The following is a 16,005-nucleotide window of genomic DNA, read 5'->3' as shown; positions in this document are numbered from 1 at the left end:
CCTTGCTCTGTCTCAAACACTCTAGGCATATTTCCTTCTCAAGGCCTCTGTGCTTGTTCCCTCTGCTTGAAATGTGCTTTCCCCAAACAGCTGTATGGCTTTTTTCTTCACTTCCTTCAGGCCTCTTCTGAATGTCAACTTAACCATCAAGTCATTCTCTACTATTTATTCCCTACTATATATTGAGAGGTGGTAGAATGTAAGAATTAAAAGCTTAGAGGCAGTCTAAAGTAATGAAAATTGATGTTCCTTTTAAAAAATAATTTTTTATTTTTATAAAATGAGATGGGGTCTTGCTACGTTGACCAGGCTGGTCATGAACTTCTGGCCTCAAGCAATTCTCTCATCTCGGCCTCCTAAAATGCTGGGATTACAGGTGTGAGCCATTACGCCCAGCCAAAAATTGGTGTTCATACAAAAACTTATGTGCAAATATTCACAGCAGCTTTATCTGTAATAGCTCCAAACTGGAAACAACCAAGATGTCTTTCAATAGGTGAACAGAGGGAAGTGGGTGGGCAACATGAAGGATCATTGTGGTGACAGATATATTTGGAGCCTTGACTATATCAGTGTCAATATGATGGTTATGATATGGTTCTATAGTTTTGTAAGAAGTTACCTCGAGAAACTGAGTAAAAAGTACATGAGATCTCTCTGTATTATATTACAACTGCATGTGAATCTACAAATTATGTCAAAATAAAAAAAATTAATTAAAAAAAGCTTGGACACAAGCCAGTCTGATGGATTCAAAATCCTGGGTCTGCTACTTTTAGCTGTGAAACCTGGAGAAAGTTAACACCTCCGTGCCTCTGTTTCTTCATCAATAAAATAGAGGTAATAATAGTACCAATCTAATAAGGTTGTTTGAGGTAAAGGAATTACTATATGTAAAGATCTTAGAATGGTATGTGGCCCAGAGTAAGTATCATATGAGTATTAGCTACTATTGTTAATAATTTTAGAGAATAATGTCTACTATATTGTCTATTTTAACATATGCTCCCGATTCACAGTATAACACTATCTGGTACATAATAGGCACTGGATAAATATTTGTTGAATGAAAACATGAAAGCTCCTGATAGATGAATTTGCTTTTAGTGTACTGACAGAATCACTCTTCTGGATATCCAAGTTTGAGAGTATCACTAGTCAAACATTTTTTCCTTTTATATTTGTATAACTGATTATGGTATACCATAAACATTTTCTATGTTAGACAGTTCCTGCTCCTCTTCTGGTCATGAAAACTTTCTTAGCTCAAAGTCTATTAATATTATACCTAACTTGATTGAAAGAACTGATAGATATTTTTTAAATCTCTTTCTTCCCTACTCCCACAACAGATATGAATTATGGTAATAAGACCACTTGACTAAAGAATATGCAAGTGTCTGCAAATAATTCTAACCATCTTTTTCATGCATATAAAAATTGCTCAGAATTAATTCTTAAAATTGGGATAGTTTGTTGCAAGTTATGACTTCACTGTATTAAACTACTATCATGTGTTGAATCTCAAATTGATCCTAGGTAACATAATTTAATGTTGTAAGAGACATAAAGTCAATGCAATAATGCATTTCATAATTAGCACAAAATCAGTTCCCTGACTGAATAGTTTGAATAATATTCAACTAAGAAGATTTGCCAAGTGTCTTTTATGACTCTCCACTATTAGTCTACTTTAAGATGTTTTTCCCTGCAAGTTCTCTGTAACTTTAGGACAATTTATCTAAACTTTTCCATTGGCAATCATTTCAATGTACAAAAAGTTCCAAAAATAAAAACACAGAAAATACCTTTATCCATTTTCATCTGTTGTCACATTTTTACCTCATTTTCTTTATCATCTATGTTCAGTTGTATTCTTTCTTTTTCTGTATGTATGCATAATATTCTCTTGTGATTGAGTTGAGATGCATTCTGGGCCAGAAACTGCATAGATGATGTTGTGTACTTCTCAGGGACAGATAAACACATAAGGAGGCAAACAATGTTCATTTGACTCTCACTGGAGGTGATACTTGTGATCACCCTGTCAATGTGTTGTCTGATTTCTCCACTGCATTGTTGCTGTTTTTCTCTTCTCCCATACAACATTTCAAGACCATGTAAATATTCTGTTCTTCATCAACATGTCTGTCCTCTTAGATGTTACAACCATTGATGATTTTTGCCTGATCTAATCTTTAACATGATGACTGCAAAATGAGGTTTCCTTGTTTTGTTTTTTCCCAACTCTAGCACAACCTCCACATTTGCTGGTCAACTTTCAGCATGCCACTGTAAGTAAAATATCTTCATTTTCTATCCATCCACCCATTAGTGATTGGAATGGTCTTATAAAGTTCTTTATTTCCAACAGCTTATAATTCATTACTGTATTTAATTATTTGATGCTCAAATTGCCCTAGATTTGACCAGTGGGGAACTCTTCAAGCTAGATTCTGTATACTTAACAAACAACTTATCTTACTTTTTAGCATTTCCTTACTTTTTGGCATTACAACATGTTCTAGGTTCATCTTGTACCTACCCTGCCCCAGACTGAAGCCAGTCATTTGAGTGAAGAGCTTTAGTTTTAGTAGGCATTAGGGACTGAACTGTGCTCCTCAAAAAGTCATAATCAGGTACTAACCCTGTGAATGTGAGCTTATTTAGAAACGGGGTCTTTGGAAGTTAAGATAAAGTCACAGTGAATTAGAGTCGGCCCTAATGAGTGGATTACTCTGATAAAAAGAGTAAAATTTGGACAGGTAAACATAGGGTGAATGTCATATGACAATGAAGGCAGGAATTGAAGTTATAATGTCACAAACCATCAAGCTCCAAGGATTATGCACAACCACCAGAAGCTAGGAGAGAGGTATGGATAGGTTCTCCCTCTGCCTCCCCAAGAAGGAACCAACCCCACAAACACCTTCGGTTTGGAGCTCTGGCCGCCTGAACTATGAAAGAATAAATTTCTGTTAAGTTTACGGTAATTTATTACAGCAGCCTTAGGAAACTAACAGTGGGAAATAACGCTAGGTGTGTCACTACTATTGTGACTTCGCTCCTTTGCTCTTTCAGCAATAGAGCTAAGAAATATATGAATGTCTCTTCACACACACACACACACACACACACACACATACATATACATATACAAAAATACATGCACACACATCAACAGATACATACACACACAGAAATGTCCATATGTACACAGACACCTCCAATCCAATTCCTCTACACAGAATTCTTACCTGTCTTCCTCCTGTCTATATGTTTGTCCCTTCTTCCATAGTGAGAAACCAGGCTCACTCATTTGCTCAAAATAGTCTCTGATTTAGTTTGCCCATACCATTAAAATAAACCTATAGGCCGGGCACGGTGGCTCACACCTGTAATCCCAGCACTTTGGGAAGCCAAGGCAGGTGGATCACAAGGTCAAGAGATCGAGACCATCCTGGCTAACACGGTGAAACCCCGTCTCTACTAAAAATACAAAAAATTAGCCAGGCGTGGTGGTGGGCACCTATAGTCCCAGCTACTCGGGAAGCTGAGGCAGGAGAATGGCGTGAACCCAGGAGGTCGAGCTTGCAGTGAGCGGAGATCACGCCACTGCACTCCAACCTGGGCGACAGAGCCAGACTCCACCTCAAAAAAATAAAATAAAATAAAATAAACCTACAAAAGTGAGTTCAGGATTTGTTTGCAATTCTTCATTTCTCTCCCACCCACCCCAAGCTAAGGACATATAGTTGAATCTGGTGTTCATAAATCTGTCCTCCCTTCTTCCTTCATTTCTTTCTTCTTTATCCCCTTTCGGTATGGATATAGTATTCATTTTACTTTAAAATTAACTTTATCAATGAGAACACATGGACACACGGAAGGGAACATAACACACAGGGGCCTGTTGAGGCTTGGGGGGTTAGGGGAGGGATAGCATTAGGTGAAATACCTAATGTAGGTGATAGTTGATGGGTGCAGCAAACCACCATGGCACATGTATACCTATGTAACAAACCTGTACATTCTGCACATGTATCCCAGAACTTAAAGTATAATAATAAAAAAATAAGAAAAAAAAATGAATTAAGTTCACTTGTTTGTTTACAATTTTAGGTCCCTGTCCCAGTGATATCATTTTTATTTAACTGTTTGAATATGTTGGACATTAACATGCTTTCAAAAGTTGAAACTATGCCAAGAAAGTATACCCCAATATCCAAGTCTCACTCCCTCCCACATCCCTTCCACCTCACTCTCCCTTCTACCTCTTGTAACTAATTTTACTGTTTTCTGCTTTATCCTTCCTGAACATACACATTCTTTAATTCTCCCTTTTTCTTGTATGACAAGTAGCACTATGGGTATTTGTTTCTGCTTTTTGTTTCATGTAATATTTCCTGGAAATTACTCCATATATTTATAAAAACAGATAGCTTTTATAAACATAGTAGTCTATTGTATGTTCCAGAGTATATTCAACCAATCTTCTAGAACTGGTCATTTATATGGTTTCCAATATTTTGCAATTATTAATAATGCTGCATGAATAACCTTCACAAAATTATTTCCAAATGCAATACAGACTAAATTTCTGAATTATACTAACTCCTATGTGTGCAGCATTTTATGTTTAGTCTCATATATAATGGGGGCTGTTTTAAAGGAATAGTTAACGGCATGAGCAAACATTCATTATATATTAACAAAAATCATATACTGAAATAGTAGATATAATGCAAATTATATAAAAATGTATAGAGACATACATGCACATAAAATGAACATATATGATAGGATTATGGGTGTTTTAATATTCTCTGTACTTTTCTCTATTTCTCAAAAAAGAAAAATACATTAAATTTACAAACAAGAACAGAGACTTCTATTTCTTTCTATATTTCCCCAAAAAGAAAAATAATACATTATACTTACAAACAAGCACAGAGACTTCTATTTCTGACTAAATAGGTACCCTAACACAGGACTTTTGCTAAAAACAACAACAAATGCTGGGTTAAAATAAAAAGAAAACAAAAGAATCTTTTTTTGAAGTATATTGCTGAGTTGACACAGAATACTCAAAAGGTTAAAACAAAGTAAAAATGGAAATCCAGAGGGGTAGGCAAACACTCAGATTCTTTCATTCTGAGGGATATGCCAAGCCCTGTGCATTGAGCTTCAGTTTTCACAGCCATGTACAGAACTGGCAGTGATACACTGGAGTTGAGAAAGCTAACTGTACATATCTTTTCCCAACTCCACGTTCAATGACTTCAGGCTGGTATCGTGAAATCAGCCATAGTGTGAAATAGAAAAATGTGAGAAATTAGGATTTTTTTTTTTTTGCCCTGGACAGCCAGCTTTAAAATATTTACCAGGACACTACTGAACCCAAGGTTTAGGGGATAAATTCTAGGGTACATTAACGATACGAAGTCTAATTAGACTCTCCACATAAAGTTGGGATCCTAAAGAGCTACATACATGTTTAGTGTAAGAGTTGAATAGAATGATGTCTACCCTACAGAAGGAATAAACAAGGAAATTAACCTCTTTCAAACTTGATGCTGGGTGCAGGTAAATACATCTTCCCTGAAAATTTAACCACAAGCCCACCCTCATGAAGGTTTATGGATCTGGAACTCATGTTACCTATGCAGCCCACAAAACTTTAAGCCCAACATTTATTTGAATGTGTTCCCAGGTTGACAGTATCCCCAGGCTTTTGGCAGATTCAAATGTAAATACTCTCTTTGGAAACGTATCTTCATCTCAGTCTCAGAAATCACCACAAATAATGAATACAAGCTAACACACAGGAAAATAAGGCAGTTTGAGTAACAGCCAGCAGAAACAACAGACAGCAAAATCAGAACTGCATAAGCTTTAAATATTAGGCTAGGCACAAAATAGAAAATAAGTTTAATATATTTAAATAAACAAGAGGATTGTATATATGAGAATGAAATGAGTTTATCAAAATGATAAAGTAAACTGATTTCAGGGGAAGAAATGAAAATGGAAGTAATGATTATTACATAAAATTCAATGTCAGGTAAAACAGAATATGAGACACTGCTGAAGATACAATTACCAATATCGGAAGATAGATCTGAAGAAATTATCCAGAACACAGCAAATATGACAAAAAAGGGAAACTATATAAGAGGTTATGAGATATGGTAGAACAGTTAGTGATACATGTATGGCTATCCTATAAAGAAAAGCATGTGAATAATAATAATAAAATTTAGGATAATGGTTACCCTCTGGGGTGGAGAGAGGCAGGGGAATTTTTTTTTTTTTTTTTTTTTTTTTTTTTTTTTGAGACGGAGTTTTGCTCTTGTTGCCCAGGCTGGAGTGCAGTGGCGGGGATCTTGGCTCACCGCAACCTCCACCTCCCAGGTTCAAGCAATTCTCCTGCCTCAGCCTCCTGAGTAGCTGGGATTACAGGCATGTGCTGCCATGCCCGGCTAATTTTGTATTTTTAGTAGAGGCAGGGTTTCTCCATGTTGGTCAGGCTGGTCATGAACTCCTGACCTCAGGTGATCCTCCTGCCTCGGCCTCTGTGCTGGGATTACAGGCATGAGCCACCATGCCCGGCCATATTTTATTTCTTTAGACAAGTGTTTAAGTACATATATGGTCTCTGCGTTTAAGTAAAATTTTTATATGGAGATACCACCAGGGGTGGGGGGAGAGAAGCGGAGCCTGTGTGAGCCCCAGCCCCAAGTAATACTACTGCCCTTGCGTCATTTTGGAGACCCCCTTCCCAACTAAGTGCCTCTTTGCATAGCAATGGCTCCCGTCCCCATGCTCTCTGGTATCACAACAGCTGGACGGGTAGTGGCGGGTCGGCAAGGCACAGCACACGACCTGGTGGACCAGCCACTGGGAACAATGAGTCTATGGTGGCCAAATCCAGCCTTGTCCTCCACTTTGTCAAGGGACAATTTCAAGAGTACCAGGAGAGCATAATCAGAGCAGCCTTCCTTACACAGACTGTCTGCTTAGACGACACAATAGTCAAGTTTGAGATCTGGGGCAGCGCTGGACAGGAGCGGTATCATAGCCCAGCCCCCATGTACTATGAAATCACCAAAAAAGATACATTTGCACCAGCCAAGAAATGGGTGAAGGAGCTAGAGAGGCAGGCCAGCCCCAACATTGTCACTGTACTTGTGGGTAACAAGGCAGACCTGGCCAGCAAGAAAGCCCCAGAATTCCACGAAGCACAGGACTATGCAGACGACGACAGTTGACTATGGAGACATCAGTAAAGACTGCAATGAACGTGAATGAAGTTTACACGGCGAGAGCTAAGAAGATTCCTAATAAGCCCCAGAGTGCACCTGGTGCTCCAGGCCAAAACTGAGGTACGGACCTCCAGAAGAACCACCCAGCCAGCAAGAGCCAGTGCTGCAGCAACTGAGCCCCTCTTGCCTGCCCACTGCAACTACTTCCTCTGCCTGAACGACTAGACTGGAATCCATTCTAACTAATCACACTCAGCAACTGGTGCCACCACTGGGGACAGAGGAAGGGGCCCACCATGATTTCTCCATATAATTTTGATCACAGGCCAGAGTGAGTTATTCCACCTGCATCTTTCTGTACAAATACTAATTCAATTTTAAGTCTTAGGTCACTTTTTAAATAATATTGATTTTCTGCTCTTCCCATTTCCTCCCCTTTCTATTGCTCTCCTACTTTTCCTTTGCTGGTAGCAGCCACATGCTTCTGTTCCCCTCACCCTTGTATATGAGGACGGCGTGTTTGGAGCAGCTACCCTTTCTTTCCCTCTTGCGGAACAGACTCAGCAAGAGCATCTACATCCATATCTTGTTTGGCGTGGTCTTGGGTTCAGGTGATGAGCAGCTAGGGAAGGGAGAGGTAGCTCTTCCTTCAGCTGGCTGTCATCAGGCTGCAGCCCCCTCCCCACTCCTAACTCCCAGCTGGGAAACCATAGAATTGCCACAGCATTATTGTGACAGCCATGAACCCATTGCTCACAACTCCTCCACCCTCAGTCACCCTGACCTCTGGCACTAAACCCTGTTCTGACTAAATCACAATGATGAGTACTGGGGAGCAGGTAGGTAAAGGGGGAGTGGGAAGGGATGGAACTGACTTTTTCTCTATTTTATATTGTATGTTTTCTTCAACATGTAACCTATCAGTATCTTGTCAATATAGTCAGCCCATTGATCAACCTCAAATAAATTTATTTTATATTTGGGAACTTAGATATACAGAAAAATTGCAAGTTTAATATACAGACTTCCTATGTACCCCTCATCCAATTTGTTCTAATGTCACTATCTTAGCATCTTACATTACTGTGGTACATTTGGCCAAACCAAGAAACCAATGTTGGTGGATTATTGACTAAAGTCAAGACTTTATTTAGATTTCACCAGTTTTTACACTAATATCCTATTTCTATTCTGGACCTGATCCAGGAAACTATGTAACATTTAGTTGTCATGACTCTGTAGTCTCTTCTTGTCAGTGAGATGTTCATAGTCTTTCTTCATTGTTCACAACCTTGACAGTTTTCAGGAATGCTCAACTTATGTGGTAGAATGTCCATCAGTTGGGATTTGTCTGATGTTTTCCTAATGATTAGATTGAGGCTACAGGTTTAGGGAAAGAATATCAGAGAGATGAAGTTTCCACCTCTTCACATCAGCATGACTTCCCATTTGTGATGTTAACCTTGATCACTTAGTTAACATAGTTGTTTACCAGCTTTCTCCAATGGAAATAGTCAAGTCAGTATTTCGCTGTCTTCCAAACTCAATTTTTGGATATGACTCACTCAATCCAGCTCATACTCTCAAGGAGAAGGGAAGTAGGATCCCCCTTCTGGAGGGGGCAATATGTTATTTGGAATTCTTCTGTCAGGGAGATTTATCTCTTCTCCTCCATTTACTTATTTATACAATTTATACATAACACTGTGAACTCATGTATATTTACTCAATAATTTATCCTTAATCCAATGCTACATGTTTTATTTTGTTGCTCTAATTATTCCAGCTACGGCCACTCGGAGTTCTTTCACATTGGCTCATGTGTCCCTTTTGGCATGCTTAATCTTTATTATTTTTAAGAAATCTCTTGCCTTCTGGCACTACAAGATATTCCATGCTTATGTTGTATTTTCCCATCACCAGCCCCAGAATCAGTCATATTTAAAAGGAGTCCTGGATCCTTTTATTGGAGAATAGGATTTACAAACCAGGATGTGAGCGTTAGATGTGTTTGTGGCTACTGGGATATCACTGCTTCTAGGCCTTCTCAGTAAACACAGCTAGGAAACATATGCATGTATACTAATCCACATATACACATGCATCTATAATTATTTCTGCATCTATCCATCTGCATATATTAAGCTAAACATGAGTAAATACTTATATCTCCAACTCTAATCCAGTACCACAGGTTTCATTCTGGCTCTCCCCTCTTGTTTATTTATCTGTAACATCCCTTCCTGACAGTGAGAAACCTAGCTTCCACCATTCATCATCCATTTACTTATTTGTTCAACCCCAGGATACATGTAAAGAGGTTCAGAACTGTTCACCCATACCGTTATGAGAAACAAATTTACCAACTAGAATAGAGTGTTTCTATAGTGTTCCTTAGTCTTTAGCTTTACATTGTCCAATCAAAACACCATTTTCCAAAGTTACTTAGGTCAGCTCCTTTTCCCCCACCCATTCAGTGAAGTTATGCCATACATTTGTAATACAATTAGATTCATTTGTTACAGCTTGCATTCTATCCTGAAATCCCTAACATTTAAAAAACCTGCATACATTAAAATTAACCCTTTGTGATGTACAGTTCTTTGGGCTTTAACAAATGCATAGTATCATGTATCCACCACCACAGTACCATACAGAACAGTACATCGCCCTAAAAATTGCCTTTTGTATCCCCTTTTTAGTCAACCACTTTTCTTTCCCGTCGTTTGTAATTTCAATACCTGAAATAACTGAAAAATTAAGATGCAAAAATTAAAAATCATGAGTCTTCACAGAATAAAACCTAAAACTGTCAGAAGAGTTACTGTTTAACAGTTAAACTGTAGGGAGAGTTACTACTTAAAAGTTATTGAGTTCTAGACAGGAGAACAAACATCTAAATTCTTTAATTAACTTTTTCGTGGTATTATTCCACAACATGCAAGATTATGAGATCAACTTTTAAGTTGTTCATGGTAAACAGAGTTGGATTCCAATCCTAAGCAACTATTTTCTGCATTTATAAAATATTTTCCAGGGATAGAACCTACAAGCTTTGGTCATAAAAATATTTTGAATTTTTAATTGTTTAAAATAAAGCCAAAACTATTTATTAAAAACAAAACCACAGTGTAGTAACAAAAAATAGAAAACTACCTTACAGTCTATTCATTTTGCTACATTAATTATGTGATTATTAGATCTTAATAGATGTGCTATGATAGCTGCCCAGTTTCATAGATCTAAAGCACTCACTTTCAAGGATAGCTCTTCAAGTAGACTAACAGATAAGAGAAAAACAATAAAAATGTCCAGGTTGCTTATTTGTACTTCCTCTTTCCCCTTCCTGACCCCAACCACCAGAGTACGAAAGTTTCCATTTTATTTACAATTAATAGTGTGCTAAGTCTACAGGTATCACATATTACAGGTTGTGAGAATCATGTCCCAAAAGGCGGTATTATCTGGAGGAAGTAGTTAACTATGTAGGGCTAAGCAATATAATCTACCTACTGGCAGTATCATCATCAGTTAAGAACTTTAAGATTTTAGCTTCCTCCCCCTGGTGGCAGTGTCTGGGGTGATAACTTTTTAAAAATATTCAGATAGCATCTTAAGGTTTATAGCTGCTCTAGTCAATTATAAGTAAGTAATTTGGGGATAGAAGTAGATTTAAATGAAACAGAAGCAGATTTAAAAACTCTTCTAATGGAAGCACTTGCCTCCTATAGTTCTTTTTTTCTAAAATGCAATTACAACCATTACATCATTGTAAATTACATGCTGGGGTTATCTCAGTAGGTATCTGCCAAATGTAAAACTTACAGAAGGTCTTCAATGTAATAACGATGTTTTATCATTTTAATTACAAACTCTTTAAAAAACTCCCTAAAATGTACCAATTGGGGTGGTCTAAATTAACAGTATCTTGGTAGCCCAAGGGTAGCAAAAATAGATTGAACTACAAAATTTCATCATACTTATAGCAGCTGTCTTCCTGCCTCTAGGAAGCTAAGTATTTAACAAAGCAGACAGCTTGGCATTGGCATCTGATTAGCAGTGTGTGCATTGTCAGATAGAATGTGCTTGGCTCTTTTGTTCCAGGGTTTGATTAGAAATCTGGAGAGCAGAGGCATCATGTAACTTTATTTTTAAAGCTTCTGAAAGGTAAATAAACTGTGATGGTTCCTCTGGTATTGTACCTGAAAGACCGATTGATGCTTTTCTAGTAATATGCTTTATCACACCCTAAAAAATTTAAATAAGGGATTTTTGGGGGGGGGAAATACTTCAAAGACTGAAATAGGCCAATCTTAAAATCACTTTAAATATTGTACATACCAAAAATATTTTTGCAATAGAGTGCTTTGCATATTGAGTCTTGCACTAAAATACTGTTGTTGGGGAGGAAGAATGGTCATTTTAGAGTGTAAATACAAGACTCTATTCCTAAATATATGAATAGTCCAAATGAAGATTCAGAAATTTTTTCTAAAACCACGTGAAAAGCTTACTGGAAAAATAACACTGTCTTATAAGAATTATATTATTTTGATGGAGGTGCCAAACATTAAACTATAAAAGGGTGACTCTCATTACCTTTTCCTCACAAATTTCTTTGAAAATTTATTACAAATGATTGTGCTTACTGGCAGAGTTCACAATCAGTAGAGTCCATGCAAACAATCTACTTCAATGAGAAGTACATTCTTTTACTCTATCAAATCCATCGGAGGTAATCAGACTGGATGTTTTATTCAACAGGGCTGAAGAAAATTGTTCTACAATAGGTTAATTCAAAATGGCAGCATAGAAAATGCATCTGTCAGTGGGGATCAAATTACAGGGCAAGCTCCTCTCAATGCTTAGAAAAACAAGTCTGCAGTTCTACAGATTATGTGCCTGTGTGTGTTTAAAGGGGTGGGAAAGGAGCTAAATATCTGAGCTAACCTCCAATTAAAGTCAATCATAAAAACAGCCAATTTAATGAGTGCGGATTTCTTTGGGTAATTATAACACCAACCACTTTTTTCTCTTTTAAATCTGTAATTCTGCCTTCTTGTTATTGCTTGCTTTGTCATTAATCGCCTCAGGACCTTGATTTCCTAGCAACAGACTGCCACCAAACATTTGGCTCCTGTTCAACATTTTCTTTGTGAAAAATGGCACTGCTGTTGCCGCCTGGGCTGCTGCAGCTAGACTGGCTGTGTAAGTGCTCTAATAATGTATTCCACTGGAAAAAAAAATCACATGATACAGGGTGCAATGACTGAGCTCAGTTAATTACTGAGCTGGGAAGTTTATCGACAATCTAAAAGCTGTGTTGGGGGAAAGGGGACTAAGGATTGAAAAGGTGTTCCTTCCATTATCAATAACTTGCAGGTAACAATATACAAAGAAACATTTTATTTTGGGGAGTACAAGTTTCTGTTTATTTAGGAAAGAGTACAAAAGGCCAATGTTCCCAAAATGTTGCTTGATGAAATTTTCCTCTACAAACAGCCCCAAACACACAAAAGATTCACAGAATAGTTTGCTAAAATTTTAAAAAGCAAAATAACCTATGTATCTTTTAGCTGTTTCTTTCCTACTTAAGGCAAAAATTATTTGTATATATAAATATGCTATGAGATAACAGAATGAGGTTTTCATTCACAACATGAACACCCAACACTAAGAATATAGAATTCAAAATATGTTTTGATATATTGTGCACGTGAGTAAATATTTAATAATCTATAAGAGAAAAAATATGCTTATCACTATTTTTGAAATTATTTAAGTGGGAATGAAGCAGTCAGGGCTCGTGAATGGAAACCCAGTAATAAAACAGATATTTTGCTTTTTTTTTTTTTAAAGTAGATTTACTGAGATTCTCCATGCCTTAGAAATCCTACCACCTCCCAGAAATGATAGTTATGGAAATTAACATGGCATGTCAGATATGGTTCGCTGATGCCTTGCTTTAGTTCTCAGAAATAAGGCTTTAAAAGACTGGCATGTTTCAGGATTGCTGTCAGGAAATGATAATTTAAAATACCCAAGAGTACACTAAGAATTATGGAAGCATCTGTGAAACTAATAAGCCAGTGGACATACTGATTTTTACCAATGTGTCTACATACTATATTAAAAAACTTCCTACAAAGTATTGTCCCAATTCAGTTCATCTGAGGATGTGAAAACACTACAGTGTACCTTAAAACATCACATTCACAACCCTGACAGACTGAAATAAAAATGAAATTAGGGAATATCTATAAAGGAAAACTAAGCCTTAAAAAGTCTTCCGTTATATTAATGTAGTTAAAATGTACAGTTTTTGAAAAAGACAACAAGGGAATTAAAGATATTTGAATGATTTTAAATAATTCTGCTTATTGCTGGCACTAAGTCTACAACATTTCACCTTGAGTCTGATTCCCCACTTTATTTTTATAAAAACAAATTCTCAGTTAATATAAGAAAGGAAATACATATTTACAATGAGAAAAGTTTTAGAAATGGGCTCAAAACTTGCAAATGATTAAAAGCTACCACAAGAAGCCTATCAATCTACCAGGAAAACATCAGTTGACTTTAGTAAGTAAAATATTTTTAAAATTTAATTTAGTTTATTGTAGTTTTCACATTAAAAAAGGTAAACTTACAAGAAGCAACATACCTGTGAAAAATATATTATTGAGGATTAATAATAAAATATATAATGCTCATTTACTTTATTATATGTGTACCTCTCTGGAAAAGATGAAATAAAATATTTTTGGTGGACTATTCTACATTTGATATTTTATTTGATTTTTACTATTTCTGTAATACAAAATAACCTTAAATAATCTTGTTACTTATAGAATGAAGACAGAAACAAATACTTTGAAAGATGAATACAAAAAATGATTAGTTAGGACAGCAGAGCTGAAAAGAGTTGAGAGACTGGACAGAAATTAGATGTTTGCAGTGACGGTGTGATAAGGGAAAATGGGAAAGTTATAGAGAAAAGCATCCATGGACTTACCACAATTGACAAAAAAAAAACAGAAACAAAAACAAAAACAAAAACCAACCTTGTGCCAGAAATCCGTATAGAGAACAAGATAAATAAATTTTTAAAAAGCAGCAATATATCTTTCAGAACGTCTTCAACTATTTAGGATTTACTAATATCCCTAACTAGTAAACCAGGACAATGTTAGTTAATATGAATGTGCTCTAGAAGTCTGGGGCTTCAAGAAGCTATTTCCAAGGTGAAGAAAGAAAACACATGATAGATTTAAGAGGTTAGAGTCAAAAGATCCCTATTATATAGATGAGAAACCAATATTGGTCTGAAAATGGGTAACAGGAAATATGGGTTCATACAAGAACTTGCCTTCCTGCTAAGTACCAGAAAGGAAAAACGTTGTCCTCTCATTTTTTCATACCAATTTACCAAATTTTTTTTTAAGCTTCACGTACCATGTCATCCACCTAAATCAGAAAAAAACTGGTATTTCAAAAAACTGACCCTCATGACCCTCAAACACGGTAGCATTACATATATGTGTGTGTGTGTGTGTGTGTGTGTGTGTGTGTATATATGTATGTGTGTGTATATATAAATGTATGTATATATATATTTATATATATGAGCAAAAGCTTAAAAGACTCTTTATAACACTTGCAATAGAGAAATAGGTAAGAGCAAGAGATCAAAGCAGACTTATTATGTCTTCCATTACATGCCAACAATAAAGACATAAATACATTATTTGTGTAATCAGGAACAATTGCATCATTTGTAGTCATAATAACTAGATACCACTGAAACTATTATGAGAGATGTGGATATAAGATTAAATCCAGGGGGTATGGAGCATTACTACTGATGGGTATAACATTTCCTTCTGTGGTGATGTGAATGTTCTAACATTAGATTACAGTGATGGTAGCAGAACTCTGTAAATACACTAACAGCCACTGAATGATATTTTTTAAGTGGGTGAACTCAATGGTTCATAAATACCTCAATAAAAGCTGATAAGAAAGATTAAATTCAACTTTATCTGAAAAGATAGCAACAACAGAACATGTGGGGTAAATCATATTAAACTATAAAGATTCTATAATATCTTCAGTAAATATATTGGAAGACAGATACCATTCTGTAGACACTTGATTGTTTATGTCCAGTTTACATACAATTTCAAAGATATGACAACTAGCACTTAAAAATGTACACTGCCATCTGAATGTTTATAAGTTTTTCCTCTCTTAAACATGTTTATTAAAGAGATTTAGTAAACATTTCATTTTCTCAAGCAACTGCTGATTGGTCTAAAATACATAAAGTAAACAGAAGTGAAAATATTTCAGTAGATGATTTGTTAATTCATTTGGGGCTCTGCATAAGTGCCTACTGTCTTAACAACTAAATGCTATACATATGCTTATTTTCTTACCATTCTGAGGCAATTAGCACATAGTGTGGTTTCCAATCTCACATAAAATTCCCAGACTTTGTTACAGTGCCACAAGTCCACAACACAAAATCTTCCAATCTTTATCTTTAGGGCTCCTAAGCTCCCATAACCAATACTATCCCAATTCTTCTTAGTAAAAAGGTTAGTCCGTGTAATGAAAAATAACATTACTTAATATTCCCAAAGATTTCTTCTCTGTCTTGGTAGAGAGTTTTACTTTTGGTAGCTGCCAAAAATAAGAGTTAAGAAAAATTACAGGAATAAAAGAGTACATTCTCCAA

General features: G+C 36.2%; 1 protein-coding gene and 1 pseudogene across 15 annotated transcripts in view, besides 1 other annotated feature; one reads left to right on the top strand and one right to left on the bottom strand.

Moving 5' to 3' along the window:
* The window catches only part of ADK (adenosine kinase), a 558,070-nt gene that overhangs the window by 278,420 nt on the left and 263,645 nt on the right, over positions 1–16,005 (bottom strand). The gene's annotated exons all lie outside the window — the stretch shown is intronic.
* On the top strand, positions 6,814–7,638 carry RAB5CP1 (RAB5C, member RAS oncogene family pseudogene 1; annotated as a pseudogene).
* Positions 11,629–12,864: an enhancer, noted in NCBI's record as "VISTA enhancer hs595". NCBI's record gives its function as "enhancer in: midbrain (mesencephalon)[9/13] | forebrain[12/13] | nose[8/13]" and the evidence as "EXISTENCE:transgenic organism evidence [ECO:0001131][PMID:17130149]".

Source organism: Homo sapiens, chromosome 10 (genome assembly GCF_000001405.40).
Source record: "Homo sapiens chromosome 10, GRCh38.p14 Primary Assembly".
Taxonomy (NCBI): domain Eukaryota; kingdom Metazoa; phylum Chordata; class Mammalia; order Primates; family Hominidae; genus Homo; species Homo sapiens.
The sequence above is the reverse complement of the archived record's forward strand: the minus strand, read 5'-3'. Positions and strand labels throughout refer to the sequence as shown.